Consider the following 22455-nt stretch of genomic DNA (forward strand, 5'->3'; position numbering starts at 1 on the left):
GTCGAGGATGGGGGACCCTTCCTTTCTGAGCCCTGTCCTGGCTCAGCCTGTGGCCCCCACCGCTCTGGCCTCTGGCCTGGGCCTCCAGCCACTTCCTGGCTGGTAGCTGGCCCTGCAGAGTGGGTGGGGGCAGGTGGAGGCAGCAGGCAGACCCCGGGACAGAGACTCCAGGGCTGGAGCGCTTAGTGGTCTGTAAGGTCAGAACCTGGGGAGACACCCTCACCATCCCTTGGCAGGTGGGGATACTGGGCAGGTCTGCCTGGCCACGGGTCTGCGCCTCTGACCTAATCAGATGGATTTCTAGACCCTGTTCCCATAAGCAGAGCCTGACGCTTTCTAAGATTTTTTCCACCAGAGCCAAGGTAGAAGGCTGGGGGAGGGTCCCATGTCCAAAGGTCACAAGATGTGGTCCCAGCGACTGGGTCACTTCCTCCAAGCGGCCTCCACTTCCCTACCAGTGGCATGGGTGGGAGTGACATCTGTGGACAGAGGCCATGAGGACCGTGTGGGGTGGCCTAGCTGCAAGGTGATGAGTGATGCTCTTGGTGGGAGAGTGGTGAGTCCCATTCCCTGGACTGGATCTGGAGGCGGGAGGGCGCCTCCCTGTGGCCCCTCCGGCCTTCTGCACTCGGCGCAGCCTCCAGAATCCTGGGGGTAAGCTGGGGCTCTCCAAGTGAGGTCCTGGACCCCCAGATCATCCTCCTTGATGACAGTGCTTGATAAAATGTCAATTCCTGGTCCCTGTCCTGAGCTGGTAAGGGGGCACCAGGAATCTGCATTTTGTAAGTCCCCCATCGTCATTCTAATGCACATTCAGGTGTGAGCACCGCTTGGTGTTAACATCGGATGAGGGGGACAAAGTCATCTACCTTCCTCCGGCTGGCGGACAGCGAAGAGGACCAAGAAGGGCCCATCCTGGCGTCTACAACTTTGCTGTGTCCCTGGGCAAGCCGCTCCCCTCTTGGAGCCCAAGTCCCCCAGCAGTCAGAGGAGGTTATGGCCTCCCCAGGGACCTTTCCTGCCAAACAGTCTGGGATTCTGAGCCCTTTGTTTAAATCGTGGGGCGGGGATTGCTGTGAAGTCCGGCAGGCCTGAGTCAGGATCCCAGCTCCAGCACTGGCTGGCTGTGTGGCCCTGGACAAGTCACTTTGCTTCTCTGGTCCTTGGGTTACTCACCTGAAAACTGGCGATCATCATATTACCCCCACTCATCCACCCACAGGGGCAGTCAGGGAGGTCCAAAGAAGTGTGGTACCCCACGTCGCAAGCACACCATGGTGTGGGTGGATCGGCCGTGAGAAGGGCTGGCACTTCTGTGTCTTGGCTGTTTTAACTGGGTGGCGATGGGGATACTTGCATGGACTTAATTCCTCACCGGCAGGGAAAGCAGCCTGTGCAGAAACATTTGTGAGCTAATGGGTTTTTTGTTTCTAAGGGATGGCTTAAAAGGCCTGGGGACGGTAACACAGAACTGCCTGGCAGAGGCGGGCAGCGTGGTGTGGTGCCAGCTTTCCTGCTCACGCCCAGTAAGTCAGGGGCGCAGACACCAGGAGGGGTGGGTGACGAGAAGGAAAGAGGAACACCAGCCCCTCTCTGGGTGCCGCAAGTTGTGGACATTTGTGGATGTGAACAAAACCGTCTTCTGGGACATGTGTGAGAAGAACAGAGCTCTCGTGAGACTCCCATAGAGGAGGGGAGTCATTCATTCATTCATTCATTTACTCATTCATGAAGACCTTCCCCAGGCCCCACAGATGGCAAGGAGGGCCCCTCAAGATAGAAAAACCCAGGCAGAAACAGACAGGCTACTGATGCTGTGTGAATGTGGTGCTATCCGGGTCAGATGGCAGTGTGGGTCACCCACAGGCTCAAACAGCAGGGTCAGGGCATCCTGCTTCAAGACCCTCATCCTGAAGCCCAGAGGGGGGCCGCAGGGGGCCAGCGCTGAACAGGACCAGCCATCTCTTAGATTAGAGGCAAGAAATGTGAATCAGAATCTTGGGCCATCATGAAGACATGGTTTAGCTGAACAAAGAGGTGGCTTCTTGGTGACAAGACAGCCCTCATTTTTTATTTTAACCACATCTCTCTTTTTTCTTATGTCTTAAAATTGAATCTTGCTGGGGAGCACGTGGTGGCACGGGGGCTTGGAAGTCTGGTGAGCATATTTCTCGGTGACTTCAGAAACCCTCCGTCTCGGAGAGCAGCCCTGGTGCTGCTGCTACCCAGAGGCTTGGCTGCAGATCCTCAGACCCTCAGCTTCTGGTGGCCCAGCAGGAGGAGCCTTCAGAAGCCAGGGAGAGGGGAAAGGTTAGGGATCCCAGAGTCAGGGCCACCTGCCCTGACTAAAGCTGGGAAAATTGCCTAAGCTCCCTGAGCTTCAGTTCTCTCATTGCAAGGTGCAGATTGGAATAAACAGCTTAGGCGACTGAGGGGGTGGGTTCTGGAGCCAGCTGCCTGGGTTCGAATCCTGTCCCACCTCTCAGGAGGTCTTGGCAAGTTACTTAACCTCTGTCTACCTCCACTTCTTCATCAATGAAATAGTGATTCCTGCCGCACTCTAGGCTGTAGGCTGCTGTGAGAGTTAAGCAACTTCATGTCAGGTGCTTGAACAATCCCAGTTAGGACTGTTCCCTGTGAGTTGTGTAAAGTAGTGATGTCATTCTGTAGCCACGTGGTCTTGCTATACTGATGTCTAGTGACATAGCCTTGTGGTGCATAGTCTTGTAGTGCTGTGGTCTTGTAGTGTCGTGATCCTGTGATAACCCTGCCTTGGCATCAGCCGTGGTATTGGTATTAATGTTAATGTTGGGGTGGCCCTAAGGGTACAGGAAATGAGATAAATACAGTGCTCACTCTGGGCCTGGCCCAAGGAAGCCCTCAACTGATGCCTGTGCCCTTCTGTCCCCTGCCCCAGAGGAGTAGGGAGAGAGATGGAGTTTGCTGTTGTGTTACACGGATACCCACATGCTGGGGCAAGTGGGGATGGGGAAGGGCCAAGTCCTGGTTTAAAAGATGTCAAGATGGCCGGGCACGGTGGCTCATCCCTGTAATTCCAGCAGTTTGGGAGGTTGAGGCAGGTGGATCACCTGGGGTCAGGAGTTCGAGAGCAGGCTGGCCAGCATGGTGAAACCCCATCTCTGTTAAAAATACAAAATTAGCCAGGCGTGGTGGCACACACCTGTAGTCCCAGCTACTCGGGAGGCTGAGACAGGAGAATTGCTTGAACCCAGGAGGCAGAGGCTGTAGTGAGCTGAGATCACGTGCCTGCACTCCAGCCTGGGCAAGACAGAGCGAGACACCGTCTCTAAATAAATAAATAAAATAAAAGATGTCAAGAAAACACATGTATTTGTCTCGGCACAGAGGGCATTGCTGTCCTGAGTTCTGACTCCCAAGCGTGGGCTACCCTCTGGAAGGGAGGGGCTGCCTGCCATCCTCTGAGCTCCTGTCCTGCCAGCCAGCCCCTGTGCATAGACCTTCCCAGGCACTGTCTCACCTACTCCTCCCAGCCAGCCCACGAGGTGGGCGTGGCCCTGCCCAATTGACAGATGGGCAAACTGAGGCTCAGGGAGACCAAGTGACTGCCCAGAGCCATAGCAAGGGGGCACGGCTGGGACTCAAACCTGGGTCTGCATGCTCCACCCCACTACACAGCATGCGCGAAGGTCAGGAAATACTGCCACAGAGCCTTGCCATCAGGAACCACCATGGCGGGCTCCTCTGACCCCAGCATGAGTCCTGCTCATTTTCTGGAAGGTTCTTAAGGCTGTGCTTTCTGTGCCATCTGCTGGGTTGGTTAAAGGCCTTCACTGGGTTGCAAAAGCAGTTTCCCCAGCAAAAGCAATCCACCTAGTGCCCAGAAGAGAATCCAGGCCAGAGACATGAAGGGAGAGAGGACCTAGCCTGGGGGCATAGCCCCCACTTAGTGCCAGAAGACCCGAGTTCTGGCCCTGGTTCCACTGCTTACAGCCCCTTTGAGTCTGAGGGTGTTACTCTCCGTGCCTCAGTTTTCTAATCTGTGAAACAGGAATTTTGATTTCTGCCCTGCATAGCTCCTGGGGTGAGTAGGCGAAAGCTGCCAAATAATAATGGCCAATGCATAGGCAGCTCTTGGGAGGCACTGGACAGCGTCTTAGAAGTTTACCTACTTGCCCTCTTTTAACCCTCTGAAGGGCCTCTGCGTTCACTGTTCCATCATCATCCCATTGTACAGACCAGGAGGGTAGGATAGAAAGATATCAGTATCTTGCCCAAGGTCACCCACTGGTGAGGCATTTGGGTCTGATTTAGACGAACAGAAAGCCATCCGTTGTGGCCACTTCTTGGTGGATAGACGTGTGGCTCCCTACTTGATTATTCTCAATAACGGGGAGCTCACTACTCTCTAAGCCCCTATGACTGATAGTCTAGGGCTTGGGTAGGTGGCGGTGATGGTCCTTGGTAAATAGACCCCCTGTGGAAAGGGAAGACAGGGAGAAGATCCTGAGCGTGGCTTTGGCTTTGCTGTGATGGAGGGGCCAGGAGATCTACCTATGGCTGGGAGAGGGTGGGCCCACGTTCTGCTTCATGCCTTCCACAGGCCAAACCTGAGGCTGAGAGAGGAGTAAAATGCTCAACAAAGAGGACAGACAGTAGCTGCTCATAAAGCCTTGGGGTGGACAAATCCTCTTTCTAAGGGAAATTTTAAATATAAAACCAACATCGCCATATTGGACAGAGTCTGGAGAACGGGCTCTGATTCTGCCTGCAGCCTTTCTCCCTAAACATATTCATTTCCAGTCAATTTGTTCTGAGGTAGAAGTCCTGTTGCACAGTGTCATTGCAGCACTACACCTACAGCTCTACGGTTCTGTATCCTGCTTTTTTCTTGTTTTCTTTTCTTTTTTTTTTTTTAGACAGTGCCTTGCTCTTTTGCCCAGGCTGGAGTGCAGTGGCACAATCACCACATTCCGGGTAGCTGGGACCACAGGCACGCACCACCACACCCTGCCAGTGTTTTCGTTTGTTTTTTGTTTTTGGTTTTTTGGGTTTATTTTTATTTTTTATTTTTTGTGTGTGGAAATGAGGTTTTGCAGCCAGGCACGGTGGCTCATGCCTGTAACCCCAGCACTTTGGGAGGCCGAGATGGGTGGATCGCCTGAGGTCAAGAGTTCAAGACCAGGCCGGGTACGGTGGCTCACGCCTGTAATCCCAGCACTTTGGGAGGCTGAGGCGGGCGGATCACGAGGTCAGGAGATCGAGACCATCCTGGCTAACACGGTGAAACCCCGTCTCCACTAAAAATACAAAAATTAGCCGGGCGTGGTGGCAGGCGCCTGTAGTCCCAGCTACTAGGGAGGCTGAGGCAGGAGAATGGCGTGAACCCGGGAGGCGGAGGTTGCAGTGAGCCAAGACCGCCACTGCACTCCAGCCTGGGCGACAGAGAGAGACTCCGTCTAAAAAAAAAGAAAAAAAAATAGTTCAAGACCAGCCTGGCCAACATGGTGAAACCTAGTCTCTACTAGAAAATACAAAAATTAGCCGGGCATGGTGGCATACACCTGTAATCCCAGCTACTCAGGAGGGTGAGGCAGGAGAATTGCTTGAACCTGGGAGGCAGAGGTTGCAGTGAGCCGAGATCTCGCCACTGCACTCCAGCCCAGGTGACAGAGCAAGACGCTGTCTCAAAAAAAAAAAGAAAGAAAGAGGCTGGGCGCGGTGGCTCACGCCTGTAATCCCAGCACTTTGGGAGGCCGAGGCGGGTGGATCACGAGATCAGGAGATGGAGACCATCCTGGCTAACACGGTGAAACCCCTTCTCTACTAAAAATACAAAAAAAATTAGCCGGGCGTGGTGGCAGTCGCCTGTAGTCCCAGCTACTCAGGAGGCTGAGGCAGGAGAATGGCGTGAACCCGGGAGGCAGAGGTTGCCGTGAGCCGAGATCTCGTCACTGCACTCCAGCCCAGGTGACAGAGCAAGACGCTGTCTCAAAAAAAAAAGAAAAAAAAGAAAGAAAGAAATGGGGTTTTGCCACGTTGCCCAGGCTGGTTTTGAACTCCTAGGCTCAAACTGTCCTCCTGCCTTGGCCTCCCAAAGTGCTGGGATTACAGGCATGAGCCACCACGTCTGGCCTGTTCTGCTTTTTTCACTCGGTGTAATATCGTGAGCATCTTCCCTGTCCCTAAGCAGCCCAGGAGCTCGTGAGCAGTCATGCTGAGTTTTCAGCAGCTGCACAGTATCTGTCCCATGGCTGTTCTGTCATTTGTCTTGGAGCCCGCCTTTCAGTGGGGCCTCCACATGCACAATGACGTGGAAAGCTGTGTGACCCCAGGCAGGGCTCTCACCCTCCCTGCATCTCAGTTTCCTGCTCTGCTGTCAAATGGGAGCAAGAAGCAACCCACATCCTAGGGGTTCTGGGAGGAGTAAACGAGGAGATGGGATGTGAAGTGTCTGGCATGTGGTGGGGCTTAAAACTCGGTGGCTGTTGTTACTGTTGCTGTTGTTATTATTATTATTATTATTATTATTATTATTATTACTTAGGTCACATATCCTAATTAAATTGTGGATCCTTGCAGACAGGAGCCAGATTCTCTGCAGTCCTGTGCCCCACTCCTAGCCACGATCAGTCATGTTTATGATTTGATTCCTGATGTTCGGTTTCCCCCAAATAGAATGAGTCTCTGTGTGGGCGAGGTGCTGGGAGAACTTGATTGGCACAATCTCATTTTGTCCCCCATGAGCGGGGATCCTTAGCTCCATTGTAGAAACTGGCTCAGATGGGCAAGTTACTGAACCTGGGAAAGTGAAAAGAAAAAGAAAAATCAAAAACAAAAAAGAAGGCTGGGCGCAGTGGCTCATGTCAGTAACCCCAGCACTTTAGGAGGTCAAGGCGGGCAGATCACTTGGGCCCAGGAGTTTAAGCCAAACCTGGGCAACATAGCAAGACCCAGTCTCTATTAAAAGTACAAAAAAAATGAGTCAGCCGGGCATGGTGGCATGCACTTGTGGTCTTAGCTACTCGGGAGGCTGAGGTGGGAGGATCACCTGAGCCCGGGAGGTCAAGGCTGCAGTGAGCTGTGATTGCGCCACTGCTTTTCAGCCTGGGCAACACAGTGAGACCCTGTCTCAAAAAAAAAAAAAAAAAAAAAAAAAGAAAGAAAGAAAAGAGAAGAGAAGAAAAGAAAAGAAAAAAGAAAAAACTGGCTCAGAGAGTGTGATGGCCCTCCCCACAGTCACACAGCAGAAATGGAGGATCCAGGAATGCTTCCTAAAGGAGGCGGCAATGGCCCTGGGCCAGCAGGATGGGGGGTTCGACTGGGCCAACAGGCAGAGGGTTGGTGTTCTAGGCGGGGTGAAGAGGAGGAGGGGGGCTGTCCAAGGGGCATAGCAGTCGGAGCCCAGCACCCAACATAGGGCAGAGTGGAGTGTGGGTGGGGCTCAGGGGCGTGTGCTGAGCTTACCTGAAGTCGGCAGGGCAGGAATGAGCTGTCTGGGCTCCTGACCCCACCCTGTACCTTGGACCTGGCCAGTTCCTTCTGTCCGGGCAGGAAGGGGTGCTCTGTGGGCTTGGAGGATGCAGGCGCCTTCCTGGGGACTGCTCTGTGAGCAGTGATAAAATATTTATCAGCCAGCAGCTGGGCTTCCCTGCATAGGGTGCAGTCGGGGGCAGCTCCCACCCGAGCCTGCAGCCTGAGTTCTGCTGAGTCATGGGGGAGCCCAGTGAGCCGCCTGCCCTCAAGCTCCTGGGCCCCCTCTGCCCTTTGGCCATGTGAACGCCTCCTAATGTGTAAGCCATTCGGCTGCCCCCAAGGCCAGGCATCCAGTGTGCTTAGTGCTGAGCAGGGTTTCAGAGCTCACCCCCAGGAGGGTGCAGACCTCAGCCAAGGTCGCAGAGCAGAGGAGACCCGTGGGCTGGGATTCCACCTGTGCCCACCCTGGCAGCATCCCACCTCCTGAGTCCTCTCGGCACCCAGCAAGGTAGGCACTCTTTGCGTCTGGTTTTAGCGGTGGGGACGCCTGGGCGTGGAGAGGGGGTGCGGCGTGTCGGGTCTCATAGCTTAGCGGCCGAGCAGAGGTTTGGCCCTGGTCTGTCTGAGTCCAAGACCCTGCTGTGTGCCCCTGCCCCGGAGGAGCCCCACTCCGTTTCAGCCCTGAATCAGGACTAGGGTGTCTGTCCGCCCTGATGTGACACAGTGCTGTGACTTTGGGTTTGTGCTTTCGATTTTTAGAGTAGCAGCAATAACAAAAAACAGTAGCAGATGGCTTCTTCCTACTGCTGCATGGGGTGGGACGAAGGGCAGGGGGTTCAGATTCTTTTGTTCACTCATTCATAAAAAACATTCTGGGTGCCCTGGCCACGGGCCAGCGCTCAAGGCTCCAGGGACCAGCGGGGGACATGTCAGATGGACCTTCCCTAGGGGAGCTTATGCCACGGTGAGGGGAGTCAGAGGGGTGGGCTCAGTGCCTGGGCCTGCTCACATGCTGTGTGACCTTGGACAGGTTGCTTCACCTCTCTGAGCCTCGGTCTCTAATTTGTGAATTCAGGATAAACTTGGCTTTTTCTCTGAGCAAGCAAGGATCACACCTGTGTCCTTATTCTTTCTCACGGCCTCACATCCACCAAAGCTTGTGGGCACGGATCATCCTTTGCACCGGCTCCAGTTTCCAGAGAGGCCCTGGCAGGCTTTGCATTGGCTCATCCAGGAAATAACCGGGAGCTGGTGCTGGGGGCCTCAAGGACCAGCTGGTTTTAAGGTGGAAGTTTTGCCTAAGGTGCTTAGAGTTCTGAAGGGAAGTGCTGGTACCCAGAGTCACGCGTGCAGCAGCTGTGAGAGGGAGCGGGCTGCATGCGGGCTCTTGATGGGAACCCTGTGGATGGTCGGGTCATCTCCAATGCCCAGTCCTGGCTGGGCCCTTGTTGCACCCGCTCACCACCTGCCCGGACATGCAGTCTGTTCCTGCTCACTCTCAGCCTTCTCTCCTCTGGGCCTTCCTCCTGCTGTTCCTATGCCTAGTCTGATTTTTTTTTGTCGTCCTTCACCTGCTGGGCTTCTGCTGGCTCTTTTTTTTTTTTTTTTTTGAGATGGAGTTTCACTCTTGTTCAGGCTGGAGTGCGATGGCGCAATCTCGGCTCACTGCAGCCTCTGCCTCCAGCAATTCTTCTGCCTCAGCCTCCCAAGTAGCTGGGATTACAGGCGCCCGCCACCACACCTGGCTTACTTTTGTATTTTTAGTGGAGATGGAGTTTCACCATGTTGGCCAGGCTGGTCTCGAACTCCCGACCTCAGGTGATCCACCCGCCTCTGCCCCCCAAAGTGCTGGGATCACAGGTGTGAGCCACCGCGCCCTGCCTGCTAGTTCTTTAAGCCGCTGCTGGAAGGCATCCTTCTCTAGAAAGTCTTCCTGGCTGCCTCCTGTTCACCGCAGGCCAGGCGGACCCACGGCCCCCTCAGTGCCATCTCACCCTGGGCTCTGCTCATGCCTTTGGGCCAGCGCTTGTCATACAGAGCTTCTCTGCCCTGTTCCCAGGTCTCCCCGACAGCCTGGGGCTGCTCTGTGTGATTCATCTCTGGGTCCCAGGGCTCAGCTGGGGGCTGGCACAGAGTGGGACCCCAGCAGCATTCGATGAATTGAGAGCACGAGTGAGCGACAGACATCAGGGCACCTGCGTTAGGGGACAGGAGGAAGCCTGGGATGATGGATGGTCAGCTGGACAGTGGAAAATTAAGATTTCTGGGGCCTTGAAAGAGACTGCCATGGGAGTCAGTGCCTTGGGGGGTCAGGAGCACTGGCCTCCAGGTCTGAGCCTCTCCCCTTGTAGCTGAGTGACCCTGAGTGACTCCCCACTCTCCTAGGCCTCAGGAGATACGTGCGGCCACCCCAGGTCCATTCTGCAAACGCAGCATTTATTCATGCGAGGGAGGCAGGCAGGAGCAGGCTTGTGTTCTTAGGATGCTCACAGTGGTGTCCCACAAACACACAGACAGAAAAAAGACCTAAATGAAATGTACCGAGATGGGGAGCAGTAATTTCTTTGGTGGTTTGTTTCTTCTTCCATCCTTTTTGTATTTTTCAAATTTTTAGAGTCCCTTCAGTGACTTCGAGCGTGCATTGAGAGCCCAGTAACACTGGGGGGCAACTGCCACAAAGACACAGCCTCAGCCAGGCGCAGTGACTCATGCCTGTAATCCCAGCACCTTGGGAGGCCAAGGCTTGTGGATCACCTGAGGTCAGGAGTTTGAGACCAGCCGGACCAACATGGAGAAACCCCATCTCTACTAAAAATACAAAAAAATTAGCTAGGCATTGTGGCGCATGCCTGTAATCCCGGCTACTCGGGAGGCTGAGGGAGGAGAAGCACTTGAACCCAGGAGGCGCGGTTGCAGTGAGCCGAGATCGCCCCATTGCACTCCAGCCTGGGCAACAAGAGCGAAACTCCATCTCAAAATAATAATAATAACAATAATAGTAAGACTCAGCCTCCCCGCTCTGGGACACTCAGTCTGATGGGGCAGGCTGGTCAGAAGACATAGAGCCATGGTGTGTTTGGAACTTTCACAGAGGGAAGCCTGGGGCTCGGGAAGCCCGGAAAAGATGCCGGCGCAGCCTGAGGGCTTGTACAGGTGCCACTGTGCCGAAGGGTGGCTACGAGGGAGGCAGGTGTATGGGTGAGGGTGAGTGCAGTGTGGCTGGAGGCTTAGGGAAAGGTGAGTAGGACGGCGAGAGACCCACGGGGAATGAGGGCTGGACCTCAGCCTGAGTGAGTGTGTTTGGTGGGGTGAGCAGTGATGTCAGTCCCTCCTGGGAGCTGCTGTGATTTGGGGCTTTCTACTTTATTCACTCAACAAACGTTTCTCAGAATGGAGGGTGCTCGGGGCCGTAGGGCACAGATACTGATGTGGCCCTTTAGGGTCACAGGGTCCAGGGTTCAAGTCCCAGCTCCACCACTATCCAGCTGTGCAACTTTTGACAGTTTGCTGTACCTCTCTGAGTCTCAGATACTTCATCTTTGAAATGGGCAGAAGAGCACCTGCCCCGTGGCTTCCTGTGAGGATGTATAGAAAATGCTGGTCCAGCTCCTGGAATGGCATGTCCCTCCCCCACCCTAAAGTGCACGTTTAGTGGAAGGAAAGGGGGGATGGGGAAGGATGGGGGATGGGGACAGAAGTGAGCATCTGAACCTAACAGGAGGGCTGGTCCCTGCCTGGTGGGGCAGCAAGGGGTCCTGCCACAGCCCAGCGAGGAGGTGGGCATCCCAGAGCCGCAGCAGTGGCAGCGCTGCCTCCATGGAGGTCCCACAGCAGGACTCGCCAGCCTTTGTCCTCCCCACCCTGGGTGCCCGACTTTCCCATGGAAGCTGCTGCATCTTCCCATGCCTGCCCACCACAGCAGGTGGGCTGGGACGTCTCTCTGAGCTGCAGATCCCCTGGTTGGGAGAGTAGGGGACGGACATCTGGCCTGAGACCCCCCCACACACACCAGGGCAGGTTCCTGGCTCCCTGCCAGAGCCTAGCTGCCTGCCTAGAGGCTCAGAGTCCCCAAGAACTCAAGGTGACACAGTGGTGGCAGTGTGTGACAGAGGAAGGAGCCAAGGTGGGATTTGAGAACCTGGGGCAGGGCAGGGCAGACCTGGGGCACAGGCTGCGGGACCCGGACAGAGCAGGGTCGGACTACAATGTGGTCTCCACATTCATGCATCCATCATGCAGCTCTCACTGGACCCTGGCATTCCAGGGCCACGATTGTCTGCCAGACTAGCACGGCAGCGGCTCTGCCTTCCTCACCCTACTGTGCTGCCAGTGGTTCCTGTGTCTCTTCTCTCTCGGCCCCTGCATCTGCAGAGCTGAGGTGCTGATCCTCCTCTCCTGGCCTCTGTGTGAGGCTCAAATGACACCAGCCCATGAAGGGCTCAGCACATGCCTGCCACATAGTAGGAGTCTGCAGGATGATGGCTGTTCACCCGGAGGGCCAGCCTTCCTTTGACTGGGTTCCTGGGAACTCTGGGAAGTGCTTTGCAAAATGTTAGTTAAAAAAAAAGTTTGGGAGGCCAGGCGCAGTGGCTTATGCCTCTAATCCCAGAACTTTGGGAGGCCGAGGCGGGCAGATCATGAGGTCAGCAGTTTGAGACCAGCCTGGCCAACATGGTGAAACCCTGTCTCTACTAAAAATATAAAAATTAGCTGGGCATGATGGTGGGTGCCTGTAATCCCAGCTACTCAGGAAGCTGAGGCGGGAGAATCGCTTGAAACCGGAAGGCAGAGGTTGCAGTGAGCCAAGATCGCACCACTGCACTCCAGCCTGGGCAATAAGAGCAAGACTTTGTCTCAAAGAAAAAAAAAAAAAAAGTCTGAGAAACATCCCTTTTTGAAGAGTCCAGCAGACAGTGCAGGCACAGCTCTGGGGAGGCGAGGATGGCTGTTGAACTTTGTTTGACTCTGTGTTTTCCAGCCTTATGGGACCAGGGGCCCTGCTGGGAAAGAGCAGCCACTGAGTCCCAGGGGGACACCTGTGCCTTGTGTAGCTGTGCAGAGGGTGCTGTGGGGCTCACGGAGGGCTGAGGCAGGAGATGATGTGGGCAAACTGCCCTGTTCAGAGGTCCCTGTGGCCACAGCCTGGAGGGCAGGCAGGAGGAGGAAGCCCAGCCACAGGGAGGCCAATGTGGAAGGGATGCTGTGGCCAGAGCCGTGGCCTGAGAGCACAGTGGCTGGAGGGAGGAGCCGGCAACAGTAGGAATCTGCAGGGCCTGGGAGACAGCACAGAGGGAACCTGCTCCACGCGGCCATGGACCTGCCTCACCACTGGCCCACTGAGTTACAAGGGGCGTGGCCAGCAGAGCTGAGATGTCCTCAGGAGAGGAGCCAGCCCAATGAGGCAGGGAGGCCTGCATGCTAGGGTCAAGGTTAGCCACACTCCCTTGCTCTGCTGGCCCCAAAGCTGAGAGGACCCTCCAGGGAGGCCTCTGGCCACAGTGCCGGGCAGATTATGGGAAGGCAGTGTCACGGTCACTGAGCTCAGGTGAATTTCCTCCTTACGTGTACTCTAATACAGGGGATGCCATAGGCAGACGGTGGAGAGAATGGGGGGAGGAGGAAGGGGATGGGGAGGAGGCCCATCCAGGCCCCAGCCAGAGCTCTTCATCCACCTTCCACCGTGGCTGTCAGCTGCCTGGACATAGCCTCTGGTGCTGGGCTCTGGATTCCACCATGTCCCCGCTGGCCTCTCTGTGCCCATAGGTGAAATGAAGACCCCCTGCGCCTCACACTCTGCCTTCTCACAGAGCAATTATGAAAGCCTGGTGAAGACATGGAGGCCGGCACGGGGTGACTGATTTGGCCAAGGTCAGATTTGAATCCGGCACTTAGCTCAGGCCTGGCCCATAGGAGGTTCTCAAGAAACACTTGAGTTAAAAGGAGGCTGCAGATGGCTCTCTCGACACGGGAATGTCGCAGAGACAATCATGGTACCTGGCGTGTGGCCAGAGCTGAGTAGCTGCTAAGCCATGTTATAATTACAGGAGTCACCTAAGGAAATTGCCGCTCTCATTCTGCAGGGCCGCCCAAGGCCTCTCTGAGCCCACTAGGGAATGTGCCCACTGTAGCGGGAGGTCTGGACAGTACTGTCCTCTAAACGCAGATGTGTGTGTGGTGGGGCAGGGCTACAGAGAAGACTTTGGTGGATTAGGTTACTCCAAGAAGGGTTTTGCAGGATGAATAGGAGTTGGCCAACCAGACCAGGCTTAAGGGAAGATCATCCCAAAATAAGTGAAGGGTGAGCATGTGGACATGAACTGAGCCTGACTTCCAAGGACAGAGCCTTCCACCAGGAAGCTGGCCTCTGCTCCCATTCACTCAGGAGGTTTCAAGGAGGCCCCTGGGTCCCCTGCCTCTCCTCTCAGACCCTGGGAGCTGATTGCTCAGGCTGCCTGCAAGAAGCTGGGAGCTTCTAACTGCATGGCCACCCTCTGGCCTTATCCCTGCAGTGAAGCCCTGGAGAGCCCCTTCCTGTCATCTGCCCCTTGAGTCTGGGGAAATCCAAGTGGGCCAAGCCAGTGCTTGGGGAGCGACAGAGTTTGTAGTCGAGATAGCCACCCACCTTGAGGGCCACCTGGCAGCCCCAGCTCCTGAGGAAGAGGCTTCTTGCCTTGGCCCCCACCCCATCTGCCACCCACACCCAGAACCACAAGACAGAGGGCCCAGACCTAGGTTACTCAAAACCAGAAACTGCCGAGAAGATCTGAATGAGGAGCCCCCTTGGGGCCAGGGCCAGGTGGCTGGGCAAAGCCTTCCTCCCACGCCCAGCACCCCGAAGGAGGGCAGGGGCTGGGGGGAGCCAGCCAGGAGACTGTGTCCACCCTCCCAGGCCACCCTGCCTTAGGCCCCAACAAAGGGCAACTCATAGACCCTTGGGGACCTCTGAATCAGGTCCTCTGATTGGCCTCAGATCCAGTCCCTCTGGGGTCCCAAGCCCTGGCTGCAGAGTCACCCCCTCTCTCCTCCCCATGGCTCATTAGCTACATCCTAAGCCTCAGTCTCCCCATCAGTAAGATGAGAAGCCTACTCGCGAGCCACCCGGGGAATGGAAGCAGCTTCCACGGATGAACAACTGTGTCCACCCCTGTCATCCTTGATAGGGTTCATGGATGGCTGAAGAGGGGCCAGCCCAATCCTTTGTCAGAAGCCCTAGCCCAGGAACAGGGGCTGGGCCCCTCGCAGGGGTTGGTTTCATTGGCTTTGACTGCAGCGACAGGTAGGGTGTGTCCCCCGGACTGGGTGGGGGTGTCGAAACCAGGACTTCCAGAATTGATTGAGGGTCCAGGAGGGCCCGGGCCAGAGGGGTGGGCTGAGGAGGGGCCTGGGGCTTTTCAGTTAAACAAGCCACCTGTGGCCACCCCAGCCCCCACCCCAGTGCCCACAGAGCCTGAGCTGTGAGCCCAGTGAGGCCAGGAGCTGGAAGCCAGTCTGATCCAGCCTCGAGAGTGGTAGAAAATGTGCTGGTGATGGCCAGGCGCGGTGGCTTATACCTGTAATCCCGGCACTTTGGGAGGCCGAGGTAGGTGGATCACCTGAGGTCAGGAGTTCAAGACCAGCCTGGCCAACATGGTGAAACCCTGTCTCTACCAAAAAAAATACAAAAATTAGCTGGGCGTGGTGGCGGCAGCTGAGTAGTTCCAGCTACTCAGGAGGCTGAAGCAGGAAAATCACTTGAACCTGGGAGGTGGAGGTTGCAGTGAGCCGAGATCGCGCCATTGTACTCCAGCCTGGGCAACAGAGCGAGACTCAAAAGAAAATGTCCTGGGGATGATGGGGAAGGGGCAAAGAGCACTGGGGACCAGGGTCAGGATGCCTGAGGGTCACCTCCTACCCGCGGTCCAACTGCCTGTGCTGCCTGGTGTTGCCCAGCTTGCACCCGCCCCCAGCTCTCTGCCCAGGGCACTGTTGTGAGGTTAGGGGCAGACAGCGGGTGTGGGTGCAGAGCACAGGGCCGGGCTGATGTCAGCGTCCACAGTAGGGGAGCAGCCCCTTCCTGTCGCTCTGGTCTGTGCTCCACTTGGCCGTGCTGGGTGAGGTCATCCTTCCAGGCCCTGGTGAAATGTCATCTCTGGAGGCTCAGGCGTCCTCCCTCCTGGGGATTCTGGAGCCTCCCTTTACTGCCCTCTTGTGGCTCTCAGGGGAAGGGAAGTGGCAGCCCGGGACTCAGGGCCCGGCACGAAGTAGGCGCTCCTGGTGGCCGCTGGGGTTACTGACCGTGGGAAGCGTGTAGCTCCAGAGTCACAGCTGGGCTCTGATTTCAGCCCTTCCACTCACTCACCCTACAACCCGGGCAAGTCAGCTTTCCCTCGGAGCCTCTGGTTCCTCTTCTGAAAAATGTGGGTGGAAATTCTGGCCTGTAGGTCTGCCCCAGGTCGGAGGGTAGATGGGTACGCAGTGCCAGCACCCAGTAGGGCCTCCGTGAGTGAGCATGTGTCCTTTACCCCATGCACTGGGACAGTCCTGCTCTGCTGGTGACCCTACATATCCCACTCCTGTGCAAGGCCTCAGTCTCACCATCTGTAAAATGGACAGTGGAGACTAGAATGGACAGAGCAAGACCCCATCTCAAAACAAACAAACAAAAAACGATTTCTCCTCTGTCTGGAATAGAGCCATGTGTATTTAATCAGAAAAATGTTTTCCCTCCTCCACCCCAAATCTGTGGATGCTCCATAGAGAAGGGCCATGCTTATCCCTCAGTTTCTCCTTAAGGTGGGAGCCTTGCGCTTTCAGAGAAGCCAGTGAAAGCCACACCCCTCTCGCCAGTGAAAGCCACACCCCTCTCCCCAGTGAAAGCCACACCCTCTCCCCAGTGAAAGCCACACCCCTCTCCCCAGTGAAAGCCACAAGCTCTCCCCAGTGAAAGGCACACTCACAGCCACCGTGACTCTGCCAGGCGTGGGCTGTGGTGCCTGACACCCTCTCAGACATGCCCAGGCACATGCTGGAGTTGCTCAGAACTTCTACACAGAATCCCAAGCACCAAGGGTGGGGCTGGAATCAAAGCCGAGATACGTGATGCCCCTTCCGCCTAACTTTGTCCCCTTCTAACCCAGATAGTGCCCAGAAAGATGGTTCCACTTGCAGGCCCTGTGCCCAGGGCCCTGGCTTCCGTGGTACCATCCTTTCTCCCTGGGGGAGCACCGTGATGATGCCACACATCAGAAGTTCCCCTATTGGGGCCCGGCATGGTGGCTCACGTCTGTAATCCCAGCACTCTGGGAGGCCAAGGCAGGCAAATCCCCTGAGGTCAGGAGTGAGAGCAGGCTGGCCAACATGGTGAAACCCCGTTTCTACTAAAAGTACAAACATTAGCCAGGTGTGGTAACACACACCTGTAATCTCAGCTACTTGGAGGCTGAGGCACAAGAATCCTTGAACCCAGGAGAGAGAGGTTGCAGTGAGCTGAGATCGCACCACTGCACTCCAGCCTGGGCGACAGAGTGAGACTGTCTCAAAACAAAAAGAAAAGAAAAAGAAGTTCCCCTATTGGGCACCTGGCTTTCACAACATCTTGTTCTATTCTTGTGTTTTTGTTGTTGTTGTTGTTGTTGATTTTTTTGAGACAGGGACTCGCTCTGTCGCCCAGGCTGGGGTGCAGTGGCATTAACTCGGCTCACTGCAACGTGTGCCTCCCGGGATCAAAAGCTTCTCCTGCCTCAGCCTCCCGAGTAGCTGGGATTACAGGTATGTGCCACCACGCCTGGCTAATTTTTTTTATTTGTTTGTTTTGTTTTGAGATGGAGTCTCGCTCTGTCGCCCAGGCTAGAGTGCAGTGGCTCGATCTTGGCTCACTCACTGCAACCTCCACCTCCCAGCTTCAAGCGATTCTCCTGCCTCAGCCTCCTGAGTAGCTGGGATTACAGGTGTACACCACCACGCCCAGCTAATTTTTGTATTTTTAGTAGAGATGGGGTTTCACAATGTTGGTCAGGCTGGTCTTGAACTCCTGACTTCATGATCCGCCTGCCTTGGCCTCCCAAAGTAATTTTTGTATTTTTAATAGAGACTGGGTTTTGCCATGCTGGCCAGGCAGGTCTTGAACTCCTGATCTCATGATCTGCCCACCTCGACCTCCCAAAATGCTGGGATTACAGGCATGAACTACCACACCCGGCAAATACGATATTTGATTCCTTCTTTTACATCTTTAATTATGTGAGGCAAATTTAATTTTACAGTCTCCTCCAATGGTTTCTCGGGAATTTCCTTCTGGTATGTGTGGTGTTTGCTTGTCCCTCCCTCAGGCTGGTCTGTTTCTGTGTGTTGTGTAATTTGGGATCATGAGTTTATCTCCAGCAAGGGCTTTATCTGTGAGAATCCCAGCTCGTGGGCATGCCTCCCAGAGCATTGTTTATTGTTGCTGATATAGAACACTTGTACATACTTTTGGGGTATGTGTGATATTTTGACCCCTGTACACAATGTGTTTGATCAAATCCGGGTAATCGGGAAACCCATCGCTTCAAACATCTATATTGTCTTTGCATTTGGAACATTACAATTCTTCTAGCTACTTTGAAATATATGATAAATTATTGTTAATGATGATTTCCCTATCCAGAGCGTTTTATAATTGCTCTCCCAAGCAGCCTACGGCTGTCACAGGCCTGGGGCCACTTTCTCATCGGTTGGGTTAGGCTTTATAAATACAAACCTAATCCCAGGCTAGAGCAGACCCATGGCTAGAGTCCCTCAGGAGAACTGCACACTTTTTCCTACCTCAAGCTCAGGAGGAGTCAGACAAGTTTTCTTGTCATCTCTTATTGTCAGTGGGTAGATCTTTTTCTAGGCTACATTTTATTAAGGTTGCAGCTCCTCAAGCCCTCTGGTGTTCTGTGGAGAATTCAGTTTCACCTCCCAGCATCCTGCTTGCTCCGCGCCTGGTCTCCTGGCTGCTATCACAGTTTAATAAACCCTCCGTCTCAACACCCTCTCTCCACCCCCACAAGGCTGCCACACTTTCACTTAATGTCTGAGGTTGTGTTTTGTTTTGTTTTGAGATGGAGTCTCACTCCGTCGCCCAGGCTGGAGTGCATTGGCGCGATCTCGGCTCACTGCAACCTCCGCCTCCCGGGTTCAAGCGATTCTCCTGTCTCAGCCCCCCGAGTAGCTGGGACTACAGGCGTCCACCACCACACCTGGCTAATTTTTGTATTTTTAGTAGAGACGGGGTTTCACCCTGTTGGTCAGGCTGGTCTCGAACTCCTGACCTCAGGTGATCTGCCCGCCCTGGCCTCCCAAAGTGCTGGGATTACAGGCGTGAGCCACCGCACCCGGCCTGAGTTTCTAGTTTAAAACATTTTCCTAGCCGGGTGCAGTGGCTCACACCTGTAATACCAACACTTTGGGAGGCTGAGGCAGGCGTATCACTTGAAGTCAGGAGTTTGAGACCAGCCTGGCCAACAAGGTGAAACCCCGTCTCTACTAAAAATACAAAAATTAGCCGGGTGTGGTGGTGCACCCCTGTAGTCCCAGGTACTGGGGAGGCTGAGGCAGGAGAATCGCTTGAACCTGGGAGGCGGAGGTTGCAGTGAGCTGTGATCGCACCACTGCATTCCAGCCTGGGCTACAGAGCGAGACTTCGTCTCAAAAGAAAAAAATATTTCCTGCAATGTTACTATTATACTAGTTAGAGTGCAACTAGTAGAGCATAATAGTTAAGAACACGGACGCTATGACCAGACTGCTTAGGCTTGGAACCCAGCTCCATCGGCAAGGAGGGGGCTCAGTTTCTTCATCTGTGAAATGGGGGGCAGCAACAGTCTACCATATGGGGTTGCTGCCAGGCTAGAGGGCTTGATCCATGAAGGCAGGGAGGCTGTCACTCCATATGTGTAACTGCGTACTTCAAGCACTATGCTGGCCTTCAGTAATGTCAGTATTAAATGTGCTATTACATCCTATATATGGCCAGGTGCAGTGTGGCTCACGCCTGTAATTCCAGCATTTTGGGAGGCCGAGGCAGGCGGATCACTTGAGGTCAGGAGTTCGAGACCAGCCTGGCCCACATGGTGAAACCCTGTCTCTCCTAAAAATACAAAAATTAGCCGGGCATGGTGGTGCACGCCTGTGATCCCAGCTACTCGGGAGGCTGAAGCAGGAGACTGGCTTGAATTCGGGAGGTGGAGGTTGCAGTGAGCCGAGATCACTCCACCGCACTCCAGCTATTACATCTTATATCTTATGTGTTATAATATAAATATATCTTAAGGAGAATTGTAATATTATCATGCTGGCCCCTGATTTTCCACACTTTTTTACAAGCTCGATCATAGAAGATGTTTGTAATTTTTTATCTAACATTTCTAGGACACAGGCAGGGAGGGAATTTTTAGGTTTTCTCGTTCTCTAAATTGCCCAGCTTCTTGATCTTCATGTGATGAAGACAATATAATAATAACCCTCCCATTTATTACCATTTCTTACGGGGACCTTACCGGATCCTGCCCACCTGCGTCCAGTTAGTCTGCTAACTCACGGGTCGTCTTTGGAGTTCCGAGGAATCCAGCTTAGCCACCTACCAGCTTGGTGACTCATCTTCCCATCTGTACACATCTTTCATCCCTTATCAGACACCCCCAGGGCCAGATGTGGCTTGGAAATTCCTATGGGATGACCCCTGGGCATCTGGGCGGCAAGTGGGAACCACAGCTACGAGAGTTTCTGTAGCCAGATTACCCGAAGAGGGTAAACAAAGGCTCTAAGTAGCCTCCCTTTAGGGACCAAGTGTGTTCAAGGACTGAGCTCCGTGTAGGCTGGGACTTGACCATTGGATTGCGCACCATGGAAGTCACCTGTGGCCTGGGCAGAAGGGCCATGGAAAAGTGGTGGGGACAGGAGCTCATCTCAGAGTTTTGTTTTGTTTTGTTTTGAGACGGAGTCTCGCTCTATCACCCAGGCTGGAGTGCAGTGGCGTGATCTCGGCTCACTGCAACCTCCACCTCCTGAGTTCAAGCAATTCTCCCATCTCAGCCTTCCGAGTAGCTGGGACTACAGGCGCCCGCCACCACGCCTGGCTAATTTTTGTATTTTTAGTAGAGATGGGGTTTCACCATGTTGGTCAGGCTGGTCTCGAACTCCTGACCTCAAGTGATCTGCCCGCCTCGGCTTCCCAAAGTGCTGGGATTACAGGCGTGAGCCATCATACCCGGCCTCATTCCAGAGTTTTGCTCTAAAAGGGAACAGGAGAAGGCACTGCTGGCCAAAGGTGGTTTTGTGGTCCAGAGGGAGGGGGCAGCACGGGTCTGACAGGAGAAGGTGAGACTGAGCTTACAGAGGAGGGAAGCGGCACCTGAGCACTGGGGCCCAAGGAGGATGTGGGAGGGGGCAGGCTGCAGAAGTCAGGGATGCGGGGGCAGGTGACCAGAAGGCCAGGAGGGAGAGAGAAGACCCTGTGGGCAGACAGAGCCCCCAGGAGAGGAAGCACCGGATCAGGGATCCCCAGCTCTGTGTGGGCAGGTGAATGTCCACTGGGTGTTGACCTGTGCCTGAACGTTGACCTGAGCACCCAGTCTGATGGAGGAGACAAGCACAGTCTGAGACCCTGACACAAGGCAGGGGGAGGGAGGAGGGCCAGGGACTGTTGGCTAAGTTGGGTAAAGGAGAGAAAGGATTCCATGGTGGGGTTGGGGGGAACCTGACAGAGGGCATGGCAGGGCCAGAGGCCACCTTGGAGGAAGAGGCAGCCCCGCTCACTGTCACGGCCAAGGCTGAGTGAGCACCTGCAGCTGTGAATACGTTTAGAGCCTGTGGTTACCCAGGGAGGGAGATGTGATGAGGATTCTCATTTCACAGATGGGGAAACTGAGGCACAGTCAAGCAGAGGGAATCAGCCCGAGGTCGACATCTATTAAGTGGTGAAGCCGCGATCCTCTGGCTGCACAGCCCATGCTCTGAATCGCACTTTACTACCCACTGTTATTATTATTATTATCACTGAAAAAATAACCCAGCCGGAGGATGAGGAGCAGGGCACCCCAGGCAGAGGGCAGAGCCTGGGTAAAGGCCCAGATCTTCCAGGCAACAAGTGGGCACTTTGTCTCCTGGTTCGGGGGGTGGCGGGAGAGGGGCCTGGCAGGGCGTGGCGGGAGACGAAGCAGAATTGGAAGGAGTGGAAGACTGTGCTCAGACTGGAGGGTCTTGGATGCCAGGCTTGGAAACCTGGAATTTATCCTGCAGGCAGAGGGCCTCATCCAGAGCCTCTGAGCAGCCAGGGCAGAGGCATCCTGGGTGCCCAAGTGAACGTGCTGGCAGCCTCGGGAAGGTGGATTCCCGGGGCGGGGAGGCAGGAGAGTCCTGAGCCCCCGAGGGCTGTGTGGTGGAGGGGGTGGGCAGGCTGTGGGCAGGGGCTGAGAAAGAGGGCAGAGGAACGGTGAGCCCAGGCTTCAGGTAGGAAGATCTGGGCTGCTTCCGGGAGGATTTGGGTAGAGAAAACCGGGGTCTGGAATGGGGATTCTGAGGTTGGTCCTGGCCCTGCCCCTCACCAGCCTGTGACCCTGCAGGTGACGTCAGGACTCAGAACCTCCATGTCCACCTCGGTGGCACGGAGAGGAGGCTACCCAGCTGGAGGGGTTGTGGTGGGGAGGCCGTGGCCCGCGCTGGGCACAGCATGTACTCAGCGGTGGGGACCCTGCCCTAGACTCAGTGCCCCTGGCACGCCTGGAGCTGACTCCTCCTGCCCCTGTGAAGAGTTGGGGCCCCTCCAGCGCCCCTGCAGTTTGGGAGGCCGAGCAGTTTGGGAGGCCGAGGCGGGTAGATCACCTGAGGTCAGGAGTTCAAGACCAGCCTGGCCAACATGGCAAAACCCCGTCTCTACTAAAAACACAAAAACTAGCCAGGCGTGGTGGTGCACGCCTGTAATCGCAGCTACTCAGGAGGCTGAGGAAGGAGAATCGCTTGAACCTGGGAGGTAGAGGCTGCAGTGAGCCGAGATTGCAC

At 55.0% G+C, this 22455-nt stretch overlaps 1 protein-coding gene across 5 annotated transcripts in view, besides 5 other annotated features; it reads left to right on the plus strand.

The window, feature by feature from the left end:
- Positions 1-22455, plus strand: part of PRR5 (proline rich 5) — a 68931-nt gene that overhangs the window by 527 nt on the left and 45949 nt on the right. For 2 of the 5 annotated variants that reach the window (NM_015366.4, NM_001017530.2), the window contains exon 1: positions 7808-7963. The exons of 2 other annotated variants lie outside the window; for them this stretch is intronic. Coding sequence is in view for 1 of the 3 variants with exons in the window: in NM_001198721.2 (NP_001185650.1) it covers positions 10523-10608 (86 nt within the window). In the remaining 2 variants the exon portion in view is untranslated. Of the gene's footprint in view, positions 1-7807; positions 7964-10069; positions 10609-22455 lie in introns of those variants that run through there. One more of the 5 variants, NM_001198721.2, reaches the window with a different exon arrangement.
- Positions 10129-11025: an enhancer, noted in NCBI's record as "H3K4me1 hESC enhancer chr22:45075286-45076182 (GRCh37/hg19 assembly coordinates)". NCBI's record gives its function as "activates a minimal SCP1, AML or CMV promoter by ChIP-STARR-seq in naive H9 embryonic stem cells {active_cell/tissue: H9 hESC(naive)}" and the evidence as "EXISTENCE:reporter gene assay evidence [ECO:0000049][PMID:30033119]".
- Positions 14834-15373: an enhancer, noted in NCBI's record as "H3K4me1 hESC enhancer chr22:45079991-45080530 (GRCh37/hg19 assembly coordinates)". NCBI's record gives its function as "activates a minimal SCP1, AML or CMV promoter by ChIP-STARR-seq in primed H9 embryonic stem cells {active_cell/tissue: H9 hESC(primed)}" and the evidence as "EXISTENCE:reporter gene assay evidence [ECO:0000049][PMID:30033119]".
- Positions 16350-16669: an enhancer, noted in NCBI's record as "active region_19213". NCBI's record gives its function as "activates an Ori minimal core promoter by ATAC-STARR-seq in GM12878 lymphoblastoid cells {active_cell/tissue: GM12878}" and the evidence as "EXISTENCE:reporter gene assay evidence [ECO:0000049][PMID:35858748]".
- Positions 16350-17050: a biological region, named in NCBI's record as "H3K4me1 hESC enhancer GRCh37_chr22:45081707-45082207".
- Positions 16550-17050: an enhancer, noted in NCBI's record as "H3K4me1 hESC enhancer chr22:45081707-45082207 (GRCh37/hg19 assembly coordinates)". NCBI's record gives its function as "activates a minimal SCP1, AML or CMV promoter by ChIP-STARR-seq in naive H9 embryonic stem cells {active_cell/tissue: H9 hESC(naive)}" and the evidence as "EXISTENCE:reporter gene assay evidence [ECO:0000049][PMID:30033119]".

This window comes from Homo sapiens, chromosome 22, assembly GCF_000001405.40.
Source record: "Homo sapiens chromosome 22, GRCh38.p14 Primary Assembly".
In the NCBI taxonomy this organism is placed as follows: domain Eukaryota; kingdom Metazoa; phylum Chordata; class Mammalia; order Primates; family Hominidae; genus Homo; species Homo sapiens.